This window comes from Homo sapiens, chromosome X (genome assembly GCF_000001405.40).
Source record: "Homo sapiens chromosome X, GRCh38.p14 Primary Assembly".
Classification (NCBI taxonomy): Eukaryota; Metazoa; Chordata; class Mammalia; order Primates; family Hominidae; genus Homo; species Homo sapiens.
Window position 1 is genome coordinate 64,378,572 of NC_000023.11, and position 19,308 is coordinate 64,397,879.

Below are 19,308 nucleotides of genomic sequence, written 5' to 3' on the forward strand. Positions count from 1 at the left end.
TTGCAAGAAAAATGTTTTTAAAACATTTCAAACTAAAAGAAAATACCTCTTAAAATTTGAAGGATATAGCAAAAGCAGTGCTTAGAAGAACATCTATAGCATTGAATGCATATATTAGAACAAAGAAAAATCTAAGGTCAATAATCTAAGCTTTTACCTTAGAAAACTAAAAAATACAAGAGCAAATTTAATCCAAAGTAAACTTCTGAAATATTATAGAGTAGAAATCAATGAAATTGATAACAGGAAATCAATAGAGAAAATCAACAAAACCCAAAGCTGGCTCTTTGAAAAGATCAAGAAATTGATAAGATGCTAGCCAGGCTACCTAAGAAAGAGAGTGAAGACACAAATAACACCAGAAATGAAAGAGGGGCCATCACTACTGATCCCATGTACATTAAAAGGATAATGAAACAATATTATGAATAACTGTATGTCCACAAATTTGATAATCTAGGTGAAATGGACCAATACATCAAAAGACACAGTCTACCAAAACTCATACAAGGAGAAACAGATCATCTGATTGGGCCATATCTATTAGAGAAACAAAATCCAAAATTAGCAATCTTCTAAAACAGAAAGGTTTAGGTCCAGATGGTTTCACTGGTGAATTCCACCAAACAATTAACAAAAAAATTATAGCAATTATCTACCATCTCTTCAAAATGGAAGCAGACAGAATACTTCCTAACTCATTCTATAAGGCTAGCATTACCCTAATTCCAAAACCAGAAAATACATTACTAGAAAGGAAAAGTACAGACTAATATTTTTCATGAACATAGATGCAAATATCCTCAACAAAATATTGGTGTATTAGTTTGCTAGGGCTGCCATAACAAAGTACCAGAAACTGGGCAGCTTAAGCAACAGAAATTTATTACCTCACAGTTCTGAAGTTCAGACAACCAAAATCAAGGTGTCAGCAGAACCGATTCCTTCTCAAAGATGTGAGGGAAGGATCTAACCCAGTCCTCTCCTCTAGGCTTATAGACATCTTCTCCCTCTGTCTTTTCACATCAGCTACCCAATATGCATGCCTGTGTCCAAATTTCTCCTTATAACCCAGTCACATTGGGTTAGGGCTCACCCTAATGACATCATTTTAACTTGATTACCTTTGTAAAGTCCCCATCTCAAAAAAAGTCATATTCTGAGGTTAGGACTTCAACATATGAACTTTTTGGGGGACACAATTCATACCATAAAAATTAGTAAATTGAATCCAACAATGTATAAAAATAATTATACACTACAACCAAGTGGGTTTTATTCCAGGTATGTAATGTTGGTTCATCATTTAACAATCAATTAATGTAATCCATTACATCAACAAGCTAAAAAGGAAAAAAAAATCAGTGTCATACCACTAGATGAAGAAAAGCATTTGACAAAATCCAATCCCCAATAATGATAAAAACCTCTCAGCAAACTAGGAACAGAGGGGCATTTCCTCAGCTTGATAAATAACATCTACAAAAAACCTACAGATAACATCAGTGGCTTAGCCTCACAAACACAAACCTCCTTTCAGTTAAACCAGGGAACTGACTTCACTGCACTGTGCCAGTTTCCCAACTATGCCTGCCACTGAGGTTATTACAAACACCAAATGAATATGTGTCTGACTTCACTTTGTAAACCACAAGAGATGATTATTCCAGAATAGTGTTACCCAGAAATGCTCACACGTTTCAGATTTCCATTAAATAATTATGTTATGGCTGTAGCAATTAAACTCTGCAGTGACTTAGCCTCACAACACAAACCTTCTTTCAGTTAAACCAGTGGTACTACCTGGGCTATATGCCAGGGGAGATTTAACAAAACATATTCGGGCTCCACCCTCAAAGGTTAACTTAATTGGCCTGAGGTGAGGCATTTAAATATTTTAAGCTCCATGGGTGATTCCATTGTGTAGCCATTGTTGAGAACCACTGAATTAATCCAAACTTCATCTAAATAAAATTTTTATTTGAGAAAAATTAAGGACATGGAAAAATCCATTGATCTGGAATTATTTTTTCATATTATACTTTAAGTTTTAGGGTACATGTGCACAATGTGCAGGTTAGTTACATATGTATACATGTGCCATGTTGGTGTGCTACACCCAGTAACTCATCATTTAACATTAGGTATATCTCCTAATGCTATCCCTCCCCCCTCCTTCCACCCTACAACAGGCCCTGGTTTGTGATGTTCCCCTTGCTGTGTCCATGTGTTCTCATTGTTCAATTCCCACCTATCAGTGACAACATGCGGTGTTTGGTTTTTTGTCCTTGTGATAGTTTGCTGAGAATGATGGTTTCCAGCTTCATCCATGACCCTACAAAGGACATGAACTCATCATTTTTTAGGGCTGCGTAGTATTCCATGGTGTATATGTGCCACATTTTCTTAATCAAGTCTATCATTGTTGGACATTTGGCTTGGTTCCAAGTCTTTGCTATTGTGAATAGTGCCGCAATAAACATATGTGCACATGTGTCTTTATAGCAGCATGACTTATAATCCTTTGGGCATATACCCAGTAATGGGATGGCTGGGTCAAATGGCATTTCTAGTTCTAGATCCCTGAGGAATCGCCACACTGAATTCCACAATGGTTGAATTAGTTTACAGTCCCACCAACAGTGTAAAAGTGTTCCTATTTCTCCACATCCTCTCCAGCACCTGTTGTTTCCTTACTTTTTAATGATCACCATTCTAACTGGTATGAGGTGGTATCTCATTGTGGTTTAAAACAATGTGCATTTCTCTGATGGCCAGTGATGATGAGCATTTTTTCATGTGTCTTTTGGCTGCATAAATGTCTTTTTTTGAGAAGTGTCTGTGCATATCCTTCGCCTACTTTTCGATGGGGTTGTTTTTTTTTTTTTTTTCTTGTAAATTTGTTGGAGTTCATTGTAGATTCTGGATATTAGCCTTTTGTCAGATGGGTAGATTGCAAAAATTTTCTCCCATTCTGTAGGTTGCCTGTTCTCTCTGATGGTAGTTTCTTTTGCTGTGCAGAAGCTCTTTAGTTCAATTAGATCTCATTTGTCAATTTTGGCTTTGTTGCCACTGCTTTTGGTGTTTTAGACATGAAGTCCTTGCCCATGCCTATGTCCTGAATGGTATTGCCTAGGTTTTCTTCTAGGGTTTTTATGGTTTTAGGTCTAACATTTAAGTCTTTAATCCATCTTGAATTAATTTTTGTATAAGGTGTAAGGAAGGGATCCAGTTTCAGCTTTCTACATATGGCTAGCCAGTTTTCCAAGCACTATTTATTAAATAGGGAATTGTTTCCCCATTTCTTGTTTTTGTCAGGTTTGTCAAAGATCAGATGGTTGTAGATATGCGGCATTAGTTCTGAGGGCTCTGTTCTGTTCCATTGGTCTATATCTCTGTTTTGGTAGCAGTACCATGCTGTTTTGGTTATTGTAGCCTTGTAGTATAGTTTGAAGTCAGGTAGTGTGATGCCTCCAGCTTTGTTCTTTTGGTTTAGGATTGACTTGGCAATGTGGGCTCTTTTTTGGTTCCATATGAACTTTACAGTAGTTTTTCCAATTCTGTGAAGAAAGTCATTGGTAGATTGATGGGGATGGCATTGAATCTATAAATTACCTTGGGCAGTATAGCCATTTTCACGATATTGATTCCTCCTGCCCGTGAGCATGGAATGTTCTTCCATTTGTTTGTATCCTCTTTTATTTCGTTGAGCAGTGGCTTGTAGTTCTCCTTGAAGAGGTCCTTCACGTCCCTTGTAAGTTGGATTCCTAGGTATTTTATTCTCTTTGAAGCAATTGTGAATGGGAGTTCACTCATGATTTGGCTCTCTATTTGTCTGTTATTGGTGTATAAGAATGCTTGTGGTTTTTGCACATTGATTTTGTATCCTGAGACTTTGCTGAAGTTGCCTATCAGCCTAAGGAGATTTTGGGCTGATATGATGGGGTTTTCTAGATATACAATCATGTCATCTGCAAACAGGGACAATTTGACTTCCTATTTCCCTAATTGAATACCCTTTCTTTCCTTCTCCTGCCTGATTGCTCTGGTCAGAACTTCCAACACTATGTTGAATAGGAGTGGTGAGAGAGGGCATCCCTGTCTCATGCCAGTTTTCAAAGGGAATGCTTCCAGTTTTTGCCCATTCAGTATGATATTGGCTGTGGGTTTGTCATAGATAGCTCTTATTATTTTGAGATACAGAATTATTTTTAAAAACAACAACAAATTTAGGCCAATGGCTCTCCCTCTTAGCTGAATATTGGAATTGGAGAAGTTTAAGAAATACTGATTATTTGGTCCCACCCCTAGATATTCTAACATAAATGATCTCAAGAGTGAAAAAGTTCCCCAGGTGATTCTAGTATGCAGCCAAGGATGAGAACACATTCATCCCATTCATCCTCTTATTTTCCAGGGGTAGGTTCCAAGCTTCACCCTTAAATACAGAAACAACAACAACAACTATAATAACAAAATAGAGAAGTTACTATACACCAAGTATTGAGCTTTACATGTCATATTTCATTTGAGTCCTTACTACAACACAGTGCAGTTATTCTTCAAAGAAAAAAGATCTCTTTTGATCACCTGCCCCTAGGATTCTGTCCTGCAAAGTCATTCTTAAAACTGTTTTCCAATCCCAAGAAGTCTTATTTTCATGTACAAGCTAGGAAGGCATTCATTTCCAGCATAGAGCCATCCTTGCTGGAGGCATATAAATACAGATTAGATATATAGATAGATATAGCTACAGATATATTTTAACAAAATTATTGGAGACAGTATTATATATATGATATAATTTATAATTATATAGAATTCCAAAACCAAAAATTATATATATGATATATAAAACCAAAATCAGAAATTATGTATATTATTATACATACATAATTTATTATATATTATATAATTTGGTTCATGGTTCTGCAGGCTGTACAGTAAGCATGATGTTGGCATGTACTCAGCTACTAGGGAGGCCTCAGGAAACTCACAATCATGGTGGAAGGTGAAGAGGGAGCAGGCACTCACACTGCGAGAGAAGAAGTAAAATGGGGGGAAGAAGCCACACACTTTCAAATGACCAGATTTCATGAGAACTCACACAATATCATGAGAACAGCACTAGAAGGATGGTACTAAACCACTCATGAGAGATGCACCCCCATCATCCAATCACCTCCTACCAGTTCCCACCTCCAACACCAAAGATTATAATTCAACATGAGGTTTGGTAGGGACAGAACCAAACCATATCATTCTGCTCCTGGTCCCCCAAATCTCATGTCCTACTCACATTGGAAAATACAATCATGCCTTCCCAATCATCCCCAGAAAATCTTAACTCATCCCAGCATTAACTCAAAAGTCCAAAGTCTCATCTGAAACAAGGTAGGTTCCTTCTACTTTCTAGCCTGTAAAATCAAAAACAAGTTAGCTACTTCCAAGATACAATGGGGTTATAAGCATTGGGTAAACATTTCCATTCCAAAAGGGAAAAATCAGCCAAAAGAAAGGAGTTATAGGCCCCATGCAAGTACAAAACCCAGCAGAGCAGTCATTAAAACTTAAAACTCCTAAGTAAATAATATCCTTTGACTCCATGTCCCACATCCAGGGCACACTGCTGTGAGGGGTGGACTCTGAAGGCCTTCTGCATCTCTGCCCCTGTGGTTTTGCATTGTTCAGAACCTGCAGCTGCTCTCACAGGTTGTAGGTGAATGCCTCCAGGTTTTTCAGGTGCAGGGTGCAAACTACCAGTGGATCTCCCATTCTGTGGTCTAGAGGGTGGTGGCCTCCTTCTCACTGCTCCACTAGGTAGTGCCCTGGTGGAGACTCTGTGTGTAGGCTCCAACCCTACATTTCTCCTCTATACTGCCCTAGTAGAGGTTCTCTGTGAGGGCTCTGCCCCTGTAGCAGGCTTCTGCCTGGGTACCCAGGCATTTTCATACATCCTCTGAAATATAGGCAGAGGCCCCCAAGCTTCCTCTTTTGCAATCTGTGCCCCTGCAAGCTTAACACCATGTGGAAGCCACCAAGGCTTATGGCTTGAACCCTTTGGAGCTAGAATCCAAGCTATATCTGGGCCCCTTTGTGCCAAGGCTGGAGCCAGAGTAGCCCAGATTTGAGAACCAGTGTCTTAAGGATGCCCAGGGCTGCAGGGCCTTCGGCCTGACCCACAAAACTATTCTTCCTCCTAAGTCTCTGGGTCTGTGATGGGAGGGGCTGCCATTAAGGTCTCTGAAATGCCTTTGAGGTCTTTTTCCCATTGTCTTGGCTATCACTATTTGCCTCATTTTTAGTTATGCAAATTTATCCAGCAAGTGGTTGCTCAGGAACCCATTTGAATTCTTCTTCTGAAAATGTGCTTTTCTTTTCTACCACATAGCCAGGCTTCAAATTTTCCAAATTTTTATACCCTGAAATATAAGTTCCAACCTTAGGACATTTCATTGCTCGTGCATCTGAGCATAGGCAGTTAGAAGCAGCCATGCCATTCTTGAACACTTTGCTGATTAGAATTTTTTTCATGCCAGATACACTAAATCATCATTCTCAAGCTCAAACTTCCACAGATCCCTAGGGCATGGACACAATCCAGCCAAGTTCTTTGCTAAGGCATAACACATGTGACTATTGCTCTAGTTCCCAGTAAGTTCTTTGTTTCCACCTGAGACCTCATCAGCCTGGACTTCATTGTCCATATCACTATCAGCATTTTGTTCACAACCATTTAACCAGTCTCTAGGAAGGTCCAAACTTTCCCTCATCTTCCTGTCTTCCTCTGAGCCCTCCAAACTCTTCCAACCTCTGCCCATGACCCAGTTCCAAAGCTGCTTCCAGGTTTGCAGGTATCTTTATAGTAATGCCCCACTCCTCGGTATCAATTTTCTGTATTAGGCTGTTCTTGCATTGCTATAAAGGAATATCTGGGACTGGGTAATTTATAAAGACAAAAGGTTTAATTGGCTCACAGTTTTGAAGGCTTTAAAGGAAGAATGGTGGTGGTATCTGCACAGCTTCTTGGGAGGCCTCAGGAAGCTTATAACCATGGTGGAAGGTGAAGGGAGAGCAGGCATCTCACATGGCAGAGCAAGAGCAAGGGTAGGCGGTGAGGTGCCACATACTTTTAAACAACCAGATCTCATAATTCACTCACTATCATGAGGACAGCACCAGAAGGATGGTGCTAAACCATTCATGAGAAGTCCATCCCCATGATCCAATTACCTCTCACTAGGCCCCGTCTTCAACATTGGGGACTACAATTCAACTTGAGACTTGGTGGGGACAAAGATCCTAATCACATCAGAGACCATTGTTTTGGACAGAGCTCCTGCACTTGGTCCCAAGAGGCCAGACCAAACCAATAGGGAGTCACTCAAGTTAAATGTCTCATAATCAAACTGAAACTTTAAAGAAACATACAGATCCCCAAACGGACCAGTTTTTCCTGAAAACAGGAGACTCCAATCTACCTGAATCAGCTTAATAAGGAAGTCTTCTCTGCTTTCACCCTGACAAAAAAAAAAAGTAACCTGAAGTAACCTCATGTTAACTGATTATTTTTATTCTATTCTGTTTTCCGGTTCCCACCTTACAAAATACACTGTTCTGTTAATGCCCAGTGGGAACGCTCATTCTATTTTGTAGAATGGAGGTTCCCCAATTCATGAATTAGATCTATAACTAAATTTTCTTGTAATTTTGTCTTTTGATAATATAGAAGGTGGCTAAAGGGTGGCTGGAGAAGCAGATGCAAGTGAAGTCAGCTACAAGGGGCCAGCTATAGAAAGGAGGGAGCAAGGTGGGACAAGGCCAGAGAAGGATTAAACAGTTAAGTGAAAAGCCAGAGGGACCAGTGTAAGATAAATGAAAAAGAACTCTCAGAATTCAGGGGGCACTTTAAAACCAAAAACCCACATGGGGATGAGAGGGGAAAAACAACTCACAGGAATCTTCAGGCACAGAATAAGTAGAACACTCCCCCTACCACCACGGAAAATACTTATGGGAAAAGCTGCAAAGAACTACAGCAAGAGAACCATGGGTATAAACCATTTCCTTACCTGATGGGGAAGCTGCAGGGAGGCATTGTGCTAATCTCAATGCAGAAGGATATGTAAACATGATAGAAATAGTTTGGTGAAAGCATGTCATCATTTCAGCCAACTAAAAGTCAAAAAGCGCCAGGTACAGTGGCTTTCACCTGTAATTCCAGAACTTTGGGAGGCCCAAGTAGGAGGATTGCTTGGGCCCAGGAGTTCAAGACCAGCCTGGGCAACATAGTGAGACCTCATATCTACAAAAAAAAAAAATGCTAAAAAAATTAGCCATGTGTGGGGCCATGCTCCTGTGGTCCCAGCCACTCAGAAGGCTGTGGTGGGAAGGATCGCTTAAGCCTGGGAAGTTGAGGCTGCAGTGAGCCAAGTTCATGCCACTGCACTCCAGCCCAGGCGACAGAGCAAGGCCTTGTCTCAAAAAAGAAAAGAAAGAAACTAGGCTTGCCCCTGCTAGACAAAGTGTATTGTGATTAGATTAAAAGAAAAACATCAGTGTCAATTGCACAGGGCCTCACTCACTCACACTCAGGAAAAGAAGTCACACTTCAGGGGAAAGAAATGGTCAAGGGATGAGTAGTAGGAATTGAAAAAAACAAAGCATCTTTAGCTTTCTCCTGACTGTCCCAGAGATCCTTATGCAGTCCTGAATGGTAGGAGATGCTCAACAAGAGGAAAAACTGGCCACTCAGAAGAAATTCCTGCTAAGGCCCAGGGCACTACCTACCAAACGGCTACATTATGCAAGTACAAAGAGTGCTGTGTGACACTTAAAGAACAGTCTTTGAGGAAGCCTGAAGGGAGGGGAAAATTATTGATATCCAGGCTGAACTTCCTCTATAGTATGTCTCCCAAAGGCAGGAATCCTGTGCCTATTAGCAGGTAGGACCTTCTAGGAGACTTGCAGTTACTCAGACCCTCCCCTCTTTCTACTCAAAGGCACCAGGGCCCCATCTGTTTCTGATACAGTGTTATAAAGCACTACCGGTAGTGCTTTTACCTGGCAGAAACTGAGGTCTCACAGAATATGTGTGTGGGGTTGGGGGTGAGGGGAAGAGAGAATGAGAGAGAGAGATTGGGGGGAGAGAGAAGGAAAAGACAAAAAGGAAGGGGAGAGAAAGGGATGCAAGAGGGAAGGTAAAAAAGAAGGGAGGAGAGAGGAAAGGAGGGAGGAGGAGAGAGAAGAAAAAGGAGAAGAGAGGCAGAGTAAAGAGAAGGAGACAGAGAAAGATGAAAAAAGAGAGAAAAGGAGAGAAAAGAGGCTGACCACCACTAGGTACGGTACAGATTTTAATTCCCAGGCAGGCCACCCAATTGTTTTGTTATTTCTCCACTCCTGAGCTGTAGATAGAGCACTCTGACATTTATAAGAACTTTGCTCTTGGAGAAGCTGTGAACCATAATCCACGTTTATCTGTTTGTTTTTCTCATTTTCTTTCTAGGAAGGGAGGAAGAGAGGAAATCAGGTGTACTTCAGAGGTCTCTGAATCCATCTACTGTCCTGATTTGCCACAATTATTGGTAACAAGTTAGATGCACTGCAATAATAAATAAAAGAAGTGACACCTGGCTCTAGAATACCAACCAGTGTAATGATATTCATCAGTCACATCCATGTCCCAAGCAAGTCCTGCCCCTTGTGTCATTGCCCCCAACAGCAGAGAGCATTCATCATGAAAACAACTGCTGTGCCCTGTATGTATTAAAAACGGCAGGCTTTTATGACAAGCCTCTCTAATTTAGGTCTCTTCTTTAAAGTAATAAGCGAGAAAATATGTAACAGGAGGAAGGAAGGGGAATGGTGGAATACTTTTGTGTCAAGATGTACAAGGTCATTGAAGGTTAAGTGTTAAAAATACAATCCAGACTAGCCTTGAACTTATGCCTCTCCACACCCTACTTCTCCATGTGCCTCCAACTAAAGCAAATTTCAGACTTGGAAAGGAATCCTGCATCTTGCAGTCCCCACATCTATCATTTTTAAATGCTGAAAGCACTCAAGAGTTAGAAGGAACCTTCCAGATTGATACCAGCATTTCTTAAGGCATGTTCTATGAATCCTAGTTCCACAGATGTTAATAGGCATGTACACACATGCACACACACAGTTCTGTGGTCAGCATAGGGGAACACTGGGTGAAACAAACATAAGCAGGTTTATTGCAGGGCTTCTCGGAGCCTTTAATAGGTGAACGTTCACTATGAATCTCCACAGTGTTTGTGGTGTTAATATATTTTACCTTAGAATCATTTTTTTAAAACAAATTATCTTGTGGGACTAGTGTTCATCAGGAACATAGTTTAGGAAATGCTAGTATATCCACTCAGCTCATTTTATTGAAGCACTATAGTACATGGGTAAAGAGCACAAACTTGGGTCACAGACTGTTTGGCTTCGTATTTCCAGCTCTGGGCAAGTTGCTTAAGCTTTCTGGATGCTTTCTTTATATTTAAAATGAAGATAATAGTATTGTTGCAAGGGTTAAATTAGCATATAAATATGTAATACTTACATAAAGCACTTAGAATAGTACCTGGCACATAGCAATTGCTCTATAAAGGTTAAATATTATTTTACTGATGAAGAAAGTGAAGCCTAGAGAGGTAAAAAGACAGTCTAAGGTCACATAGCATGTCAGTATCAGAAGTGGGGCCAGAATTCAGGTCTCCTAACTCTCTGTCTAGTATTGGTGTCTCAAATGATGAAAATGTCTTTAGTACTTAGCAAAACGTCTCTCTAAAGCACTTAAGTATTTTACCACAAAAACCAGAAAATGATATCTAAAAAGACACAACCCTAAAACAAATCCCAGTGGTTTCTAGGAGTAACTGCTTAGTTGGGGTTTCCCAAGTACAAAATGAGGTTGAAGGAGTGGGTTTTGGTGGTGAGGAAAATTATTCCAATGCCTATAAAACAGTGTCTAAAATGCCAGACCACTGCCACCAGGGCTTTCTAGGTAGCCTCTTTCCTTGCAATGTAGTACCAAGAGCCTTTCTGGATGCTCAGGCAAATCTCCCTGAGACAGGCTGATCTTTGACACCTCCCATGACTAATGTATACTAAAGCCTCTACTATTGTTTGGCTCTGATGGAGAGAGGAAAAAACACACAGTTATAGAGCACTTATAATGTGCCAGGCCCTCATCATACCTTATCTTAATCTTCATCATAGTCCCAACAGACTCAGAGTGTTTAAGTGATTGCCCAAGAACTCAGAGCTAATAAATAATATAGATTGAATTCAAAGCCAGCTTTGTCCATGCTTTTTCCATTATATCACACTATTTCCTAGACTGGAAGGATCACAGTGAAGCCAACTGGAGTTGCAATTTTGGGAACTGGAAGGGGAGCACAATTCTCACCTCTGGAAATCTCATTTCCTTCATAATGAAAAACACTTCTTTACCCAGTTTTATGTTTCTTTATTTTGACCCTGCTTCTTGTCTAAATGCATTTCAGGTTGTTTATAATAAAAGACAGATCTACAAATAGGTTATTAGAATGAAAACCAAAGCCATGAAGACTGGGAGGAAGCAATTATGCTAAGTACAAGGGCTAATGTAGTTAACATGACTGAACATTTGGCCTTAGTTTCCTGGAAGTAAAGGCAAAAATTATCTGCTTTTAAGAAAGCTTCATACAAATTGTAATCTCCTGTGTGGTACTACAAAGTGTTACAAAGTGTTATTAACATACTACAAAGTGTTATTATTTTTTATTATTACTATCCAGGATAGCATTCTGTACCCATCTGGCACTCCAATTATTTTGGATGTCGTTTCTGTGATAACTCCACAGTTTATTATAGTCTGAACAAGCTATGCATACTAAACAATTAAAAGACAATGCTACCTCTGCTACTTGCTAGATGTTTGACCTTGGATAAAAAACTCTAGCTCTCTGGACTCAGTTTTCACATCTGTGAAATGAGAGGCTTGGACCATCACTAGATGATCTTTATTTATTAATTAACTTCGTTATTAGCAGCTTTATTGAACTATAATTTACATACCATAAAATTCACCCTTTTTTTTTGAAACAGGATGTCACTCTGTCGCCTAGGCCAGAGTGAAGTGGCACTATCAGAGCTCACTGCAGCCTCGACCTCCCAGATTCAAGCCATCCCCACCGCCCCCCCAGCCTCTCGAGTAGCTGAGACCACAGGTGCAAGCCACCACACCCAGCTAATTTTTTTTAATTTTTTGTACAGATGAGGTTTCACTATGTCACCCAGGCTGGTCTCAAACTCCTGGGCTCAAGTGATCCTCCCATCTGGGGCTCCCAAAATGTTGGGATTACAGGCTTGAGCCAACCAGGCCCAGACAAATTCACTCTTTTAAGTATACAATTCAATTAGTTTTAGTAAATTTGGAGTTGTACAACCATCATCACAATGTAATTTTAGAACATTTCCATCATTCCAAAAAGAAACTTCATCCCCATTCCTCATTTAGATAATCTTTTAAAAGGTCCTTTCTAACTTTTCCATTTCTAGACTTATAAAGCTTTAGTAGCTCCTTGGCTATTTACAAGTTCAAATTCCTCAGTGTAACATTCAAAGTCCTTTACAATCTATAAAATCTTTCACTGTCTTTTTTTTCTACCCACACAAATGTAGAAATTACTTTTTTTGTGTTAAAACATTCCTTAATGAGCTAGCAATTATTTATGTGAAGGAGAGTCCAGAAAACAGATTTTTGACTAAATTATCCTTGTCCTTGATTAAAGAGATTCATGAATTAAACACATAACACTATTCTCTAGAGTAGTTATTGAGGTCTAAGAGGCTGTAAACTTGGAAGAGCTTCTCCCTGCCTGTCAGGCTGCTCCCATCAGATCACAAGACAGAATAGACATATTTTTCAGTCTCTTTCATTTTTGGACCTTGTGCTTGGCATCTCATCACCTTACTTAAGAGATCCCAGAGGGCAGTTGCCATATCCATATCCAGTTATGTATCCTTGACTCCCAATGTGATATTCTGCATATAATAATTAATAACGATGATGATAGTGACTGGTAGCTAAATTAAGCATCTACCATGTGCCAGACATTGTTCTAAGCACTTTACAGATACTAACTTATTTAATTCTTATAACAACCCTGTGAGATAGGTACTATTTTCAACACCATCTTATAGATGAAGAAACTGAGGCAAAAGAGATTATATATTTGCCAAAATCACAAAGCTAGTTAAGTAGCAGAGTTGAGATTTTATTTCAGACAGCCTGGCTCCAAAGTATGCACTCTTAAACCACAGCAAATTGTCAAACCAGTTGAAGCTCAATAAATGTTAATTGCATAAAGCCTTATTATTAAGGTTCCATTCCAGGAAAGAAAAGTAATTAAGAATTCTGGGTGCCAACTGACACAGATGTAATGAGGGTAGGGAAAAATACATAGAACAAATTCTGATTCAGATAGGAGAGTCACCAAACTTTAGGGCAGGTCTGAGACGCTCCAAAAATGGTTGTTGAACCCTAAGCTATATCTTAGATAGATCTGTTCTCATACATAGGTCGTGGGAATGTAAAATTGGTAGTGTCTAGATGAACATATGCATATTCTACGGCCCAGAAATTCCACTCCGATGGCATATACCAACAAAAATGTATATTTAAATCTGTCAAAATGTACTATTGGCAAAAGGCAGAAACTGGAAATTCCCCATCAACAGAAGAATGGATAAATCACATGTGGCATGTTAACAAAACATAATATAGCAATGAGAATGATCTATAACTTCAAGAAATAATATGGATAAATCTTTCAAACAATGTTGAGCAAAAGAAGTCAAACACAAAAGAGAATGTATTAATCCATTTATATTAAGTACAACAAAAGAGTAAAATGAATGTATCCTGTTAGAGGTCAGTATAGTAGTTTACCCTTGGGAGGGGTATTGACTGGAAGGGGGCATGAAGTGGACTTCTAGTAATGTTCTTTTTTTTGTTTGTTTGTTTGTTTTTTGTTTTTGTTTTTTTTAATCTCAGTAGCGGTTGCACAGGTGTGTCCAGTTTTTAAGTTTATAGCACAATGAATACTTCCAATCTATACACTTTTCTTTATGTGTACTGTACTTCAATAATTTTTTAAAGTCTTCCTGAGTAAAGAAAAAGACTCAAGCAAGAGCCAAAAATAAAAGTCACTTTTGTACTTGACATACACAACTAATGACTGACAAACTCAAAGTTATCCCTTTGACCTGAGATGGACAAGGCAGATGTCTCTCTCTTTTATGGAAACAGTGAGTTAACAAAAGGGAGGCCATTTTAATCCCGAGCCATTAATGCAACCCTAATCCTTTCTAGAAACTGAGAAAAAAACAGACTCACAGCAGCATACCACCTGTGGGCACTCACAGCCCTGCCAGGCACCAAAACAAATACTAATTCTGCTTAAAGAATCAAGTCTTCATTTGGAGTTTTTATTTATATTTCAAGACTAATCACACTATCCATGCAGTACAAATGGAGTCTGACCATGATGCAAGTTTAAGTTTTCTTGAGCACGAACCCTATCCCAGCACCAGTCTGAGCACTCCTATCTTTGTTTATTAGGCAAGCATTCCACATCTATGGATCTCAGTTTCCTCATCTGTAACATGGGAATAATAATAGTATCTCCTAATAGGTTATTGTAAGGATTCAAGGCATATTTCAGGTAAAATATTGAACACAGTGCCTGTCACATAGTTAAATATTCTATACGTATTAGCTGCTATTATAATTTTCATATGGGCCCGTTAATGGTTTCTTCTCCCTTCCAATTTCCATAGAGCCAGCCCAGTTTATAGCTTCAATCCCTAACAGGGGAATTTTAATATTTTAACACTCAAGGACAGGAGCAGTTCTGCCTCCCCATCTTCCCCAGTTGTCAAAAGAGAGAAAAAAGGAGTATTCGAGTGAGCTGATTTTGAACTAGACAAGTAACGTGGCCCAAGCTTAGGTGGGTTGGGAGAAGAGGGAGTCTGGACAACAGAAGTTCCTTTCCTTTAATGGTACCACCTTCTTATACCATGTCAGAGGACCCGTACAAATGACATGATCCGGAAACAAAGGGACACAGAAAAAGGCAAGGCTGGCTGGCTTTTACACGGGATGTGGTTATCCTCCACAGAGAAAGGCCCTGAAGAGGAGGGAGTCAGAAAAAAAGGTTAAAGGTTGGAGTTTGTGCTTTGCCCATCAGGCAGCATCAAAGTTTTATGCTAAAAAGTGGGCAAAACATTACTAGTTACAAAAACTCTTTCACACACATCCTCTTATTTAATCCCACAACCATCTTGTGAAGTGAGCCGGGCAAATTTCATTATCCTCATTTGGTAGGTGTATCAGTCTGTTTTCACGCTGCTGATGACATACCCAAGACTGGGCAATTTACCAAAGAGGTTTATTGGACTTAACAGTTCCACATGGCTGGGGAGACCTCACAATTATGGAGGAAGGCAAGGAGGAGCAAGTCACATCTTACATGCATGGCAGCAGGCAAAGAGAGAGCCTGTGCAAAGAAACTCCCGTTTTTAAAACCATCAGATCTCATGAGACCCATTCACTATCACAAGAACAGCACAGGAAAGCCCTGCCCCCATGATTCAACCGTCTCCCACCGGGTCCCTCCCACAACACGTGAGAATTACGGAAGCTACAAGAGGAGATTTGGGTGGGGACACAGAGAAAAACCCTATCAGTAGGTGAGGAAAGCTAAGGCTCAGAGAGGTTAAATAATTTGTCCAAAGTCATTAGCTAAGTAGTTGGTGGGGGTGCAGTGGGCAGCACTTTAATTCAAGTCTTCTGGCTTCAAAATCCATGCTCTTTCCATTAAAAACACGCTGGATTTTTTACCAGGACTTCAATTAGCCTGGACCACGTGTGTTATGATCAACAGGAAAAAATAACCACAGACTAGTTGTGAATTTTTCACTGTTCCCCAGCCCCAGACAGGAGAAAGGAGGGAAGTGGATTTGAAACAGAAAGGGGCTGGCGTTGGGAAGGGAGGGAGTAGGATCTGGAAAGATGAGAGGAAAAAGTAGCAGAAGTAACTCTAACTCGGGACTGGCTAAAAACAGGTGACAACTGGCTAGATAAACCTCTTGGGTTTCTCCTACCGGCTGAGCAGAGCCAGATCCACTCTGCCCCACTCCTCTTCCTTTTCCATTGCCCAGCTTTGGCTGAAGAGATGCTGTGGCCCCCACAAACCCTCACAGGCATGCCGTGGAGCTGGAGCGAGAGTGGGGTTCTGGGCAATCCCTGGGGAAGGTTAGTGGCTGGAGGAGCCAAGAGGATGGTGAAGAAACGCTCGATAAAGGAAGTAACTCCGCAGGAGGCAGAGCAATGTGGGGTATTCGCGAATGGCGGTTACAAGTGCAGCTAGTATAAAAAGCTGAGATAAGGGTGAGTGTGAGGTCAAGGCTAGGGAGGAGCTGGAGTCAGAGGGCCAGAACAGGCGTGCACCAGGAGCGGGGGCGGCGTCGCGTAAGGGGACAGTGGTGCAGACCACCTCTTTCCCGGCCGCTGACGCCCGCAAGCAGATCCTAAGAAGAGGTGTTTGGTTGAAAGGGGGTGTGGACCCAGAAAGAGAACCCGGGACCCCCCACAGGAAAGACGCGTCAAAGAAGGCTGAGAAGGCTGAGGAGGTGTGTCTGGGCTCCCAGGTGAGCACCAAGAGGAAGCTCGCGGCTGTCAGCCTCGCTTAACTCTTCTCCTTACCTTGGGTACCGTAATATGATCCATGACTGCAGTTCCCGCCACCGGAAGATCTCAGTGCTACTCCAGATGCCGCCGCCACCGGTCTAGCCGCCTCCTGCCTCAACCCGGGTTTCTACCCCCGCCCTCCCGGTCCTGGCTCAAACTCTCGTCACCTGATCCTCGGCGAAAGCTCCTATCGCGACACTTTGACCGTAGCCGTTCCCGCCATCTTGCTTCCTGGCAAGTGCCCTTTTCTTCGGGAAATTGATTATTCTGGTTCAGGTTCAACGTTTGGCCGAGTCTTTAAGTCCCAGATTCGAGTACTGCCACCCTTCTCACCCTTCTTGATGCTATAAGGGCTCTGAACACAGATATCACTCCTTTACTCTAATATTACAATGATAGCATCCTGCAGCAGTAACACAGGCTGCCCCATGCTGGCAATTGGGTTTCTGAAGAGCTTCCTAGCTGTGAGACCTTGGGCAAGTCACCAGAGAATATTTTTTGAAATATGGAAAGGTATATCCTCCTCTCTATCTCTCCTTTATGTGTCTGCTGCCATCAACCTAGTTAAAATCTGGAATACTACAGTATCCTCATCACTTTTGCCATCGTAGATATGGGAAGAGGACCAAGAAAGGGCCCACTGGACCAGCTATCAGATGAGGGGTAAATAGGTGCAGACCCTCAGTGGTGTGCTCCAAGTCAGATTTGTGGTGGAAAAAAGAACAATCTGAGAGTTGGGAAATCTGGATTCTACTCCTCTCAGGTCTGCCACTAACTTGCTATGTGACCTTGGGGAAATCATGCCACCTCTCTGGGTCTTAAGTTGACCAAGGTTACAATGAGGGTATTGGCCACTATCTCAGGGTAATTTCTAGCTCTACTATTGCAGTGTTATGGTTTGCAATCTCACTGCCCCTACAAAATAATTTTGTTCTTCTTTGAGTTCTTATAACATTTGCTAGCAAAATTACTCGTTTATCATATTCTGCCTTCTTCCCTAGCCTGAAGGCCCTTCCCTCGATCCATGACCCTATTCTCCCTTGTACCATCGTTCCATCATGTTCAGCCCTTTCACTGCCAAATATCTCAAAAGAATAGTCTACTTATCATCACCTTCACTTCTCCATAACAAACTCACTCCTCCCTACCACTCCACTCAATTGGCTCTTTCACATCATCCTAAATTCCAGCTGCTGATTCCAACAGCTCTTCTCAGTGCTCGTTTTCTATTTGTTTTACAGCATTTAAAACTATTGATTCATATTCCTTTTTGACATTCTTTCTTCCCTTGACCTTTATTATAAACAAACTCACTGCCTGCATCCCCAACTGTTCCTTCTCTGACTCCTTCCCAGCAACTTTCTCTTTTTTTTAAGCCATTTTCCTGGCTTCTATCCTCATTCCTCTTCTATTTTCTTTCTTTTGGTTATCTTGATCTCTTCCACAAGTTAAACCCTTACTCCTGGATATGGCTTGGATCTGTGTCCCCACCAAATCTCATGTTTAATTGTAATCCCTTACGTTGGAAGTGGGGCCTGGTAGGAGGTGATTGGATCATGGGGGTGGTTTCTTCTGAATGGTTTAACACTAGCCTCCTTGGTATTGTCGTTGCCATAGTGAGTGAGTTCTCACGAGATCTGATGGCTTAGAAGTGTGTGGCACCTTTCCCTGCCCATTTTCCTCCTGCTCTGGCCATGTGAAGTGCCTCACTCCCCATTTGCCTTCCACCATGACTGGAAGTTTCCTGAGGCCTCCCCAGAACCAGAAGCCACTATGCTTCCTGTACAGCCTGCAGAACGGTGAGCCAATTAAACTTCTTTTCTTTATAAATTACCCAGTCTCGGTTATTTATTTATAGCAGTGTGAAAAGGGGCTAATGAACCCTCAGTAGGGGACACCCAACTTCATATCTCAAGTACCATGACCTTTTTCCTGAGTTCAAATTTAGAACTTCCAATTGCCCTCTGACAGTTCTACTTGCATGTTCCTGCTAGCACATTAAAGGCATCATGGCCCAAAACAAACTCATCTTTCACACTGTCTCACAACCCCCTTGCATTTTCCCACCTCTATCACTTGCTCTTTCTCAAGTTTTTCCTATCCCTACTAATTGCACCACCATATACCCAGTTACTCAGACTCAAAACCTTGTTTCCATGCTGTTTAGGATAGTGGAAAGAGTGTGTGGACTCTAGTCAGACAAGGTTCAAATTTTGGTTTAGCAATATGCTAATAATACATGGCCCTGGGCAAATTACACAAACTCTCTGTGCCTTAGTTTTCTCAGCTGTAAACCTATTCTCTTAAAGTCCTTGTGGGAATTCAAAATGTAATGTATATGAGGTTCCAGGAACATTGTAAAGACACAATGAATATTGATAGGTTCCTTCCTTTCCTCAACTTTATTATCAAATATTTCTGTTTTCTCTCTCAAATGCTTACCTTCTTCCTAGTTTGCTGATAAAAATAGAAGCTATGAGAAGGGAACTTCCACATCATCCCAAAACCAAATTTGCTTGATGCCCTGCATGTGAGCCCGTATAATCTGTCTTCAA

General features: G+C 40.9%; 1 protein-coding gene across 1 annotated transcript in view, besides 2 other annotated features; it reads right to left on the bottom strand.

Annotated features, from left to right (window-relative positions):
* Window positions 1-16,881, bottom strand: part of MTMR8 (myotubularin related protein 8) — a 127,372-nt gene extending 110,491 nt beyond the window's left edge. The window contains exon 1 of the mRNA NM_017677.4: window positions 16,769-16,881. Within this exon, the coding sequence (NP_060147.2) occupies window positions 16,769-16,792 (24 nt within the window). The 5' untranslated portion in view covers window positions 16,793-16,881. The remainder of the gene's footprint in view (window positions 1-16,768) is intronic.
* Window positions 16,509-16,768: an enhancer, noted in NCBI's record as "active region_29709". NCBI's record gives its function as "activates an Ori minimal core promoter by ATAC-STARR-seq in GM12878 lymphoblastoid cells {active_cell/tissue: GM12878}" and the evidence as "EXISTENCE:reporter gene assay evidence [ECO:0000049][PMID:35858748]".
* Window positions 16,779-17,068: an enhancer, noted in NCBI's record as "active region_29710". NCBI's record gives its function as "activates an Ori minimal core promoter by ATAC-STARR-seq in GM12878 lymphoblastoid cells {active_cell/tissue: GM12878}" and the evidence as "EXISTENCE:reporter gene assay evidence [ECO:0000049][PMID:35858748]".